Raw genomic sequence first — 11,438 nt, 5'->3', positions numbered from 1 at the left:
GCAGAGTTTTACCATGTTTATATGCCTGCATTGAAAAGCTACTGACTTATGTGCGACTATATACTAAGGCGACCAACTTGTCCCATTTTTCCTGGTACCTTCCCAGTTTTAGCATTAAATGTCCAGTGTCTTCACTCCTGAAGTTCCAGGCAAACCAGGATGGTCAGGTCACCGCACAGCAACTCCCTTCTCTCCCAGCATCATTTTTCCCTCATCTTCGTATGAAAGGGTTGGACCTGGTCCTGTCTCTGCATATGAGATCTAAGATTTTAGGAACAGGCCAGAGGGGAAGAGGTGAGTCAACAAAGAAAGAAAGATTCAACTTGGAATTTTCTGAGAGATCTTTATTCTTTATTCAGGATGTGGGATCGATCAGCACTGCCAGCTGGGCCTTGGTTCTAGTGGCTTGCTATGGTCTGGAAAAGTTGGGGGGGCAGACAGAATAGTCAATTTAGGAGCACAGGTTCTGGAGTCAGATGAAACTGGGTTCAACTTCCAGCCCTGCTGTGTGACCCTGGGAGAGGGATTGACCTCTCTGAGCCTCAGTTTCCTCCTCTATGTAGTAGGGATAGAACTTACCTCATGGGGGGGTTCTTGATTAAATTGTTAACTAAGGTTCTCTTTACAATGCCCAGCACAAATTTAGATGGGATGTGTATGTATATATATATGTATATGCATGTGTGTGTATATGTGTGTGTGTATATATATACGTATTTGTGTGTATATATACGTATGTGTTTGTGTATATATATATACGTATGTATGTGTATATATATAAACAAAATCTATATTTTTTTTGTTTTTTTGGTTTTTTTTGAGACAGAGTCTCACTCTGTTGCCCAGGCTGGAGTGCACGATCTCAACTCACTGCAACCTCCACTTCTTGGGTTCATGCCATTCTCCTTCCTCAGCCTCCCAAGTAGCTGGGACTACAGGCGTACGCCACCATGCCTGGCTAATTTTTGTATTTTTAGTACAGATGGGATTTCACCGTGTTAGCCAGGATGGTCTCAATCTCCTGACCTCGTGATCTGCCCACCTCGGCCTCCCAAAGTGGTGGGATTACGGGTGTGAGCCACCACGCCCGGCCTTTTTTTTTTTTTAAGACAGAGTCTTGCTCTGTCACCGAGGCTGGAGGGCAGTGGCACAATCTCAGCTTACTGCAACCTCTGCCTCCTGAGTTCGAGCAATTCTTCTGCCTCAACCTCCCAAGTAGCTGAGATTACAGCGACGCACTACCACGCCTGGCCAATTTTTTTATATTTTTGTAGAGACAGGGTTTCACCATATTGGCCAGGCTGGTCTCGAACTCCTGACCTTGTGATCCACCTGCCTTGGCCTACCAAAGTGCTTGGATTACAGGCATGAGCCACCGTGCCTGGCCTTATATATATATTTTTTTAACATGGGTCAGGGAACCAAGGGATTAAATGGTCTATAAATCATCACTGTTTTTTTGTTTGTTTGTTTGTTTTTGTTTTTGAGATGGAGTCTTGCTCTGTCACCCAGGCTGGAGTGCAGTGGCGTAATCTCGGCTCACTGCAACCTCCGCCTCCCAGATTCAAGCAGTTCTCCTGCCTCAGCCTCCTGAGTAGCTGGGACCACAGGCATGCACCAATACGCCCGGCTAATTTTTTGTATTCTTAGTAGAGATGGGGTTTCACCATGTCGGCCAGGCTGGTCTTGAACTCCTGACCTCAGGTGATCCATGGGCCTTGGCCTCCCAGAGTGCTGGGATTACAGGCATGAACCACTGCACTCGACCAGAAATGTTTTTTTATTGGAAGGCTTCATGACTTTGCATGTCATCCTTGCGCAGGGGCCGTGCTAATCTCTATATCATTCCAATTTTAGTACATGTGCTGCCAAAGCAAGCACTACTGTTTTATTTTATTTAGTTTATTTTCATTTTTTTAAGAGAGAGGCTCTTGCTGTGTTGCCCAGGCTGGAGTACAGTGGCTATTCACAGGTGTGATCCTACTACTTTTCAGCATGTGAGTTTTGACCTGCTCTGTTTCTGACCTGGGACAGTTCACCCCTCCTTAGGCCACCTGGTGGTCCCCACTCCCAGGAGGTCACCACATTGATGCCAAACTTGGTGCAGAACCTGATGGGTATAGCGCACTATGGCCCAGAACTCCAGGGCTCAACCGATCCTCCTGCCTCAGCCTCCCAAGTAGCTGGGACTACAGGTGGGCATCACTGCACCCAGCTAGCTATTACTCTTTTTTTTTTTTTTTTTTTTTTGAGACGGAGTCTCGCTCTGTCACCCAGGCTGCAGTGCAGTGGTATGATCTCGACTAACTGCAACCTCCACCTCCCAGGTTCAAGCAATTCTCTGCCTGAGCCTCCCAAGCAGCTGGGATTACAGGCACCCACCACCATGCCCGGCTAATTTTTGTATTTTTAGTAGAGACAGGGTTTCACCATCTTGGCCAGGCTGGTCTTGAACTCCTAACCTCGTGATCCACCTGCCTCTGCTTCCCAAAGTGCTGGGATTACAGGCATGACTATGCCATGCCCAGCTATTACTCTCTTTTTTTTTGTTGTTTAGCTATTACTGTTACCATGAGCGTTATTAGTCCTCTCTGATCACCCATCCCCAGATGAAGTCTGGGGCCTGGACTCCCCTCTCTCGGCTCTCATCAGACTGCATCGTTCTCATTCATGTAATCACCTGTCCCCCACCAGGCAGCCTCTTGTCTGGCATGTCTCTCTATCCTCCCTGACAAGAGAGGACAAGACCAGAGGAGATACTTTATAAATACTTGTTGAAATAAGGAAGTTCAGCTGTAGTTCCAAGCACCACCCAGAAGCCATCAAGTTCCTGGGGTCACACTGTATCAGAAAACATCCCCAAGCCTTTCTGGAATGTCCCCAAGGGCCCTTCCCCACTGAGCTTCTAGGATCCTTTCAGGCCCTCCCCAGGATCCGATGTTTCTCACCTGTCACCTCTCAGAAGAGCCACCACCCTAAAGCCCTCCGGGCCGCCCTGCCCTCCTCACCTCCTCAATCCAGTCGATGAAGGCGGAGACTCGAGTGAACACCGTGGGCTTCCAGATGAAGTTGCAGCCAAAGGCAGAAACAAAGCTGGTCACACCGTGGACCTGCCAGCCACCATCCTCTGTGGGGCAGTTGAGGGGTCCTCCAGAGTCACCCTGGAACCGTCAGAGAGGAGTGGGTGGCTGAGCCATGTCTGAGGTTTACGGAACTGGTTCTGAATTCTAGGGATTTCAAGAAACTCTGACATTACTTGACACCTCTGAGCCTTAGCTCGCTCATTTTTTTATCATTTATTATTTTTATTTTTTTAGATGGAGTCTCGCTCTGCTGTCCAGGCTGGAGTGCAGTGGCGCAAGCTTGGCTCATTGCAACCTCCGTCTCCCGGCTCCCAGGTTCAAGTGATTCTCCTGCTTCAGCCTCCCAAGTAGCTGGGATTACAGGCACCTGCCACCACACCCGGCTAATTTTTGTTTATTTATTTATTTATTTTTTATTAGAGACGAAGTCTCACTCTGACGCCCAGGCTGGAGTACAGTGGCAGGATCTCAGCTCACTGCAAGCTCTGCCTCCAGGGTTCACGCCATTCTCCTGCCTCAGCCTCCCAAGTAGCTGGGACTATAGGTGCCCACTACCACGCCCGGCTAATTTTTGTATTTTTCGTAGAGACGGGGTTTCACCGTGTTAGCCAGGATGGTCTCGATCTCCTGACCACGTGATCCGCCCGCCTCAGCCTCCCGAAGTGCTGGGATTACAGGCGTGAGTCACTGCACCCAGCCATATTTAATAGAGATGGGATTTCACCATGTTGGCCAGGTTAGTCTCAAAGTCCTGACCTCAGGTGATCCACCTGCCGGGGCCTCCCAAAGGGATTATAGGTGTGAGCCACCACGCCCAGCCAGCTGACTCATTTGTGATAGGGAATAGTAGTATCTGTCCAAGAGCCTAGGGAATTACATGAGATGATGCACGATCTTAGCACGATATCCAGTAGAGAAGAAGCACTCGATAAACATAGTTCTTATTAGTGGCACCATAGTTAATTATTAATTCATACTCAATTACAATACAATGAGGGTATTTGATAGTATTTTTTTTTTTTCTGAGTCAGCGTCTCGCTCTGTCACCCAGGTTGGAGTGCAGTGGCGCGATCTCGGCTCACGGCAAGCTCCAACTCCTGGGTTCACACCATTCTCCTGCCTCAGCCTCCCGAGTAGCTGGGACTACAGGCGCCCACCACCACACCCGGCTAACTTTTTGTGTGTTTAGTAGAGACGAGGTTTCACCATGTTAGCCAGGATGATCTCGATCTCCTGACCTCGTGATCCGCCCGGCTCGGCCTCCCAAAGTGCTGGGATTACAGGCGTGAGCCACCGCGCCCAGCCTTTGTTTTTTTTTCTTAGACAAGGTCTTGGCCAGGAAAGTGGCTCACATCTGTAAACATAACACTTTGGAAGGCCAAGGCAGGAGGATTACTTGAGCCCAAGAGTTAGAGACCAGCCTGGGCAACATGGTGAGACCTCATCTCTACAAAAAATTTAAAAATTAGCTAGGCATTGTGGCACACACTTGTACTCCTGGCTGCTTGGGAGGCTGACATTGGAGGGTTGCTTGAGCCCAGGAGGGCAAGGCTACAGTGGGCTATGATGGCATTACTGCACTCCAGCCTGGGCAACAGAGCAAGATCCTGTCTCAAAAAAAAAAAAAAAAGAGACAACGTCTTGCTGTGTCGCCAGGCTTGGGTGCAGTGGCAAAAATCATAGCCACTGTGAGCTTGAACTCCCAGGCTCAAACAATCCTCCCACCTCAGCCTATCAAGTAGTTGGGACTACAGGCGAGTGCCACCATGCCTGACTAAGTAAAAAAAGTTTTTCTGTAGATGGGCATCTCACTATATTACCTAGGCTGGTCTCAAACTCCTAGCCTCAAGCAATCCTCCCACCTCAGCCTCCCAAAGCACTTGGATTATAGGCAGGAGGGACTGTGCCCAGAACAATGATGGTATTCTTAATGGTTAATTATAACTTTAGAACCACAGAATTGACCTGCGTTAGAGGTCATGGGACCAGTATCTCCTGCTGTGCTGATGCGGAAGCCTGAGGACCAGGGAGACACAGTGACTTGTCCCAAGTCATGTCAGTGTGTGAGCTGAGACTGCAACCCGGGGGTCCTGACTCCCAGGCCTGGGCTCTGTGTCTGGACTGCGCTGATTTCCTCCAAGTCCTGCCTGGCCTGGAGGCTGAATGGGGCAAGCAGGCAAGATCCTTCCTCCACCTTCCAGGCAGTTGGCCCCATTCCAAGGTCCTGCACACCCAGCACCACCTCGGGCAGGTAAGAGCTGACTCACGTTGCAGCCGGAGCGGATGTACCCTCCAGCACACACCATGGTTTTCTTCACGGTGGAACCCCACCAGTTCCACCTGGAGCAGTGCTTATAGTCCACCACGGGCAGCCGGGCCTGCTGCAGCTTGTCTGGGAGTGGCCCATTGGCTGCAAGGATAAAAAGCACCGAGTCAGGGGTCTGGGGGCACACCGCTAGGTGCCCCAGAGGAAGGGGGCATTCAAGGCCCACAGTTCTTCTGCCCTGATGAGGACTCTCCTCCCACCCGCTAAATGGTCCTGCATGCTTTGTGCACCATTACATCCCTAGCACGTGGCACACAGAAGATACCAAAACATGTGCAATTGACCACATTCGTGTTTTGGAGGTTGATGGAAGAAGGCTGCAGCTGGAGAGAAATGGGAGAAAAGTACAAGGTCCGGTCTTGGTGTTACCTTCAACCTGCAGCCCCCAGGCCCTGTCTTTCTGCCACTGTCTCTGTGGCCAGCTAGAGAAGTCAGCACGTACTATAGAGACGGCCCCAGCCGGTGATGTAGCAGGGTGTCTTGTTGGGAAGGATGTCACCAGCGGGAGGGAGTGAGGCGAGCTGGACGGCATCTCCCAGCTGGGCGCTGCGTGAGAGCTTGATGAGGGCGATGTCATTGCTGGGGAGGAGGGAACAGTCACGGGGCCTGGTCCTCCAGCCGGCCCAAGTCCTACCTTCTAGCCGTTGCTCCAGGCTATTCCACCTCTGAGATGCCCCAACTTCTTTACCCTCCAAATCCACTCTTTCATCATCATTATTATTATTATTATTATTATTATTGAGACAGAGTCTCGGTCTGTTGCCCAGGCTGGAGTGCAGTGTCACAATCATAGCTCACTGCAGCCTCCTGGGCCAAGGGATCCTCCTGCTTTCACCTCCTGAAGTGCTGGAATTACAGGCATGAGCCACTATACCTGGCCCAAATCGTTCTTAAGGCTGAGGAATTTTATTTATTCATTTATTTATTTTTGAGTCAGAGTCTCGCTCTGTTGCCCAGGCTGGAGTGCAGTGGCATGATCTTGGCTCACTGCAGCCTCCGCCTCCCGAGTTCAAGTGATTCTCCTGCCTCAGCCTTTCCAGTAGCTGGGATTACAGGCTCATGCCACCACGCCTGGCTAATATTTGTTAAGATTTTTTCATACACTTGAAAGGCATAAGATTGTCTCCTTGGCCTTCACACCACCCAGGAAGCCCAACTTCATGGTCACCTTTTGACAAATGGCAAAACTAAGGCCCAGAGAAGGCCAGTGACTTGCTCAGGCCATACACAGAGTTAATGCCAGAGCCTGACTCTCAGCCCAGTGCTCCTCCTTTTGCCCATAGTGCTGGGAGCCCAGGATGCACTGGGTGAGCCATCTATTGAATGGAGAAACCCTCGGATATGGGGGAAGGATGCCAGAGGAACCCTGAGCTCTGAAGCCACTAGCCAAGTGGCCTTGGCAGAGTTCCTGCCCCTCCCTGAACACTGCCATCCCCTCTGTAGGGAGACAGGTTTGGTGGTGATGGTCCTTAAAGGCTCTGCTGGCTTCAATCCTCAGTGTGTGGGACCTGGGCACAGGCTGCTGGACTCAGCTCCCCTGTCCCTATGTCCCTATGTCCCTACGTCCCTACTCAGAGTTGGAGCCTACTCAGACTTGGCTGTGGGTCATGGAGGGACAAGTAGAGGAGCCCCTGGGTTCCAGACCGGAGCATTCACTCACCCACAGGCCACACACGAGCGGTTCCAGAGTGGATGCACAAACAGCTCCTCAGAGTTGATGGGGATCACCTGCTCGGGGCCCTCCTTCACAGCAAGGTTGTACTCACCCAACACCACCTGGTAGGTCAGATCCCTCCTGCAGGCAGAGGTGAGGTCAGTCGGGGCCTGACTGGCTCACCTCCCTCCTTCCCCATCATCACCCACTCTCCCCCGCTGCCCAGGGCCACAGGCAGGGACAGGGTAGAGAACTCACGAGATGCAGTGGCCGGCAGTCACAACCCAATCGGGGGCGATGAGGCTACCGCCACACGTGTGGTAGAAGCTTCCACTTTTCTCATACTGCAGGGAAACCTGGTGGCCCAGGAGGAAAGGGCCTCAGTGGGCTGGGCCCCACCATGAGAGTTGCCACCAATGGCTGTATAGGTTGTGCACTGTGCAACTCTAGAGGGCGCCATTCACATGGAAAACGAGAGCACCCACTGAAATATGCAGCATACAACCTGCGACCTGGGCAGCTGCCCGTGGTGGCCCTATCACTTTTCCATGGGGGTCACATTCTGATTCTCCAAAGCCTCCCCACACCAGCACTATGACCTCCCTGGGGACCCCAACATTCTCTACCTTCTGTCTCTTAACAGCCCTTGAAGGCCCTCTGTTCTATCACGCACCCCTCGCCCTGTGAGTTTTTTTTTTTTTTGAGATGGAGTTTTGCTCTTGTTCCCCAGGCTGGAGTGCAATGGTGGCAATCTCAGCTCATTTCAACCTCCGCCTCCCGGGTTCAAGCGATTCTCCTGTCTCAGCCTCCACAGTAACCGGGATTACAGGCACCTGCCGTCGTGCCTGGCTAATTTTGTATTTTTAGTAGACACGGAGTTTCACCATGTTGGCCAGGCTGGTCTCGAGCTCCTCACCTCAGGTGATCTGCCCACCTCGGCCTCCCGAAGTGCTGGGATTACAGGCGTGAGCCACCGCGCCCAGCCCCCCTGACTCTTTTGAACCTCAGCTCTTTCAAGGCCTCTTGAGCCTTCTGAAGCACAGCTCACCCTGATGAGTTCTTTGCCTCTCTTCCCATTTCCTACACATTCTGATTTTCAAAAGCTCCATCTAGACCAGGGTTAGCAAACTGTGGACAGTGGGGCACATCAGGCTTCTGGTCTGTTTTTGTAATAAAGATGTCCTGGAAATAGTCACATTCATTTCTGTATTGTTTGTGTCTGCTTTCATGCTACCATGGCACAGTCAAGTCATTACTATCCAAACCATCAAATAACCTAAAATATTCACTCTCTGGCCATTTACAGAATAAGCCTGCTGACCCTCTCCGATAAAACTTCCCATAATCATGGGAATGTTCTATATCTTTGCTGTCCAATATGGTAGCCACTAGCCACATGTGACTATTGAACATTTGAAATGTGGCAAGCAGGCCAAGCATGGTGGCTTACGCCTATAATCCCAGCACTGTGGGAGGTCAAGACAGGAGGATCACTGGAGCTCAGAAGTTCGAGGCAAGCCTGGGCAACATAGTGAGACCCCATCTCTACAACAATGTATAAAAATTAGCTGGGCATGGTGGCGCATGCCTGTAGTCCTAGCTACACAGGAGGCTGAGGTGGGATTATTGCTTGGACCTAGGAGGTCAAGGCTGCAGTAAGCTGAGATCACACCACTGCACTCCAGCCTGGGCAACACAGCAAGACCCTGTCTCAAAAAAAAAAAAAACAAAGAAAAGAAAAGAAAAGAAAAAAGCACTGAGGAAATGAATTGTTAACATTTTTAATGTAAGTAAATTTCAGCTGGGTGCAGTGACTCACACCTGTAATCCCAGCACTTTGAGAGGCCGAGGCAGGTGGATCACCTGAGGTCAGAAGCTCCAGACTGGCCTGGCCAACACAGTGAAACCCTGTCTCTACTAAAAATACAAAATTAGCCGGGCTTGGTGGCGCGTGCCTGTAATCCCAGCTACTTGGGAGGTGAGGTAGGAGAATTGCTTGAACCCGGGTGGCAGAGTTTGCAGTGAGCCAAGATTGTGCCATTGCACTTCAGCCTGGGCAACAAGAGTGAAACTCTGTCTCAATAATAATAGTAATAATAATTTAATTTAATTTTTTTTTTTGAGACAGAGTCTCACTCTGTTGCCCGGGGCTGGAGTGCAGTGGTGCAATCTTGTCTCACTGCAACCTCCAACTCCCAGGTTCAAGGGATTCTCCTGCCTCAGCCTCCTGAGTAGCTGGGATTACAGGCGTGAGCCACCGCACCTGGCCTAATTTAATTAAATTTAAATAGCCACAGCACATCAAGTCCAGCCTTCTGAGCTTCCCTCCACTGGCCTTACAAGATCCCTCACTCCCTTATTGCTTTCAGACCTCAAAGCCCTGTAGTATCATCCTAGGAATCTAGAAATGAGTCTCTCAAAATCTCACTTCGTCAACACAGTGCCTGAAATTCCACCATCAGTGTGCCAACTCCTTGAGTTTAGCATTTCCTTCACCCCCGATTCCAATTTTAAGTTGCAAATAGCCCAGTGAGGGTTACAGATGAAACGGGCAAAACCTCCCCGTGAAGTAGATGGTCCAAGGGCTGCCTGGTCTTTGGAAGCTGAAGTGGACATTGCAAAGGGAGCAATGGTGTCAAGGCTGGATGCCACGCCATTAGAGCTTAGGGTCCAGAGCCCACGGTGGGAATGAGGGCAGCTGCTATTGCTCTTACCTGCCAGGGCCAGCTGTAGGGGACCGCATCCTCACCATGGACAACGCGGCTGGAAGAGTGAGAGGAAGGTGGGCCATAGCCTGAGGCTAGAGGGGAGAGGAGAGCTGTCAATCAGCTGGAGGGTCCCCAAAAGCAAAGAGGAGGCCAGGGTCCCAGTCCAAGCCATGCCTTCAACTGGCTGTGTGACCCCATGCAAGCCCCTTTCGCCCTCTGGACCTCAGTAACCACATATGAACAGTGAACATTTAAACTAGAGCAGGGCTTTCCAGAATCCCAGGAGTCCAGGGATAGAGATTCAAATGTGGCCTCCTTCATTGGGAGGATTGAAGAGCTTGATACACTTAGAACAATGCCTGGCCCTCGATGAGCCCTCAAAAAGTGAGAGCTATTGTCATACAGAGTGGAGGCTTTAAAGAAGGACTTCCTGGGTTCAAAGTGCAGCTCTGGGCTGTGTGTGGTGGTTCACACCTGTAATCCTAGTGCTCTGAGAGGCCGAGGCGGGAGGATCGCTTGAGCCCGGGAGTTTGAGACCAGCCTGGGCAACATAGCAAGACCTCATCTCTAGAAAAATAAAGTACAATAAAATAAAGTAGCCAGGTATGGTGGCATGTGCCTATAATCTCAGCTACTCAGGAGGCTAAGGTGGTAGGATTGCTTGAGGCCAGGATTTTGAGACCAGTCTGGGCAACAAAGCAAGACCCCATCTCTACAAAAAAAAAGCAAAAAATAAAAACATTAAGTGCAGCTCTGCCTTTTGTTCTATGATAAGCTACTTTACTTCCTTGAGGGTCAGTAAAATGGGGGATAATGATAGTACTGATCTCCTGAGGCTGTTGTGAGAATTACATGAGAAAGTATAAGAAAATCCCTAAACATTCTGCCTGGCATAGTAAGCACTCAATCAATGTTATCTGTTACCATTATTGTCAGTCAAGGGAGGCTGTTTGGAAGAGGTGGCCCTGAGCTGGAATGTAATATGGCAGAGAGACCAGGAAAAGGCCAGAGCATAGAATATGGAGCCAGGTAGGGGGAGTGAGAGGAGAGTTGGAGTGGTAAGTAGAACTGTGGAAATTCCAACCCAAGAAGTCCAACCACACAGTCCAAACTCTTAACCGTTTGACTTTGTTTACTGCCCCCATCAAGGACTTCCACCACAGCCCTTTGGGGGTCTTTCACCATCCACAGCTTCCCCTCCACTCTCCTGCTCCATCATAAGCTGAAAGCCCCTACAGTCATGCCCCCGGGTACAAGCTGAGACCCCCTCCTGTGGAACCAGGCATAGCATGTCATGGGACTCAGAGCGAGTGGTAGATTTCAAGGATTCCTAGTCCAGGGCAGCCCAGGGAGCACACAGACAGGTTGGGGTCTTACCAACGGCCACAAGGAGGAGGGAACTGAGCAGCCGGAGCATCATGAGTTTTGTGATGATAGGAAAAGGGCACAGAGCCTGGGGCTCTAATATAGGGCAGAAGGTAAGCAGGGGGGCTGATTGGGCCCCACTCCCAGAACAGGTGGTGGAACTCCAGGTCTCCCATGGTCCAAGGCCACAGTCCTCGCCTGCTGCAGATGGACAAGTGACAGCCAAAGGGAGGACCTAGCGTTCCCTCCAACAGGTGGCTGGACAGGTGGTGTGGAGTGGCCAACTGATAACAAGAGTTCAG

General features: G+C 50.6%; 1 protein-coding gene and 2 pseudogenes across 1 annotated transcript; all 3 read right to left on the bottom strand.

Annotated features, from left to right (window-relative positions):
- Window positions 1-323: 323 nt before the first annotated feature.
- Window positions 324-11,209, bottom strand: CELA3A (chymotrypsin like elastase 3A). Its single transcript, NM_005747.5, has 8 exons — window positions 11,149-11,209; window positions 9,778-9,863; window positions 7,322-7,419; window positions 7,070-7,204; window positions 5,852-5,988; window positions 5,351-5,493; window positions 3,009-3,161; window positions 324-416 (listed from the first exon to the last, which is right to left on the bottom strand). Exons 1-8 carry the CDS (start codon window positions 11,189-11,191, stop codon window positions 399-401), a joined length of 813 nt encoding a protein of 270 aa, NP_005738.4. The 5' UTR covers window positions 11,192-11,209; the 3' UTR covers window positions 324-398.
- RNU6-776P (RNA, U6 small nuclear 776, pseudogene) lies at window positions 1,778-1,881 on the bottom strand (annotated as a pseudogene).
- RN7SL186P (RNA, 7SL, cytoplasmic 186, pseudogene) lies at window positions 1,920-2,216 on the bottom strand (annotated as a pseudogene).
- Window positions 11,210-11,438: the final 229 nt, after the last annotated feature.

Source organism: Homo sapiens, chromosome 1, assembly GCF_000001405.40.
Source record: "Homo sapiens chromosome 1, GRCh38.p14 Primary Assembly".
Lineage (NCBI taxonomy): Eukaryota > Metazoa > Chordata > Mammalia > Primates > Hominidae > Homo > Homo sapiens.
Note: the sequence above shows the minus strand (reverse complement) of the source record. Positions and strands in the feature narration are given on the sequence as shown.

Coding starts and splice junctions, on each gene's coding strand:
- CELA3A (NM_005747.5), bottom strand. CDS start 11,191: ATGATGCTCCGGCTGCTCAGTTCCCTCCTCCTTGTGGCCGTTG. Junction 9,864..11,148: donor CCTCCTCCTTGTGGCCGTTG/GTAAGACCCCAA, acceptor TCTCCCCTCTAG/CCTCAGGCTATGGCCCACCT. Junction 5,989..7,069: donor CGCTCGTGTGTGGCCTGTGG/GTGAGTGAATGC, acceptor CCTCCTCCCCAG/CAATGACATCGCCCTCATCA.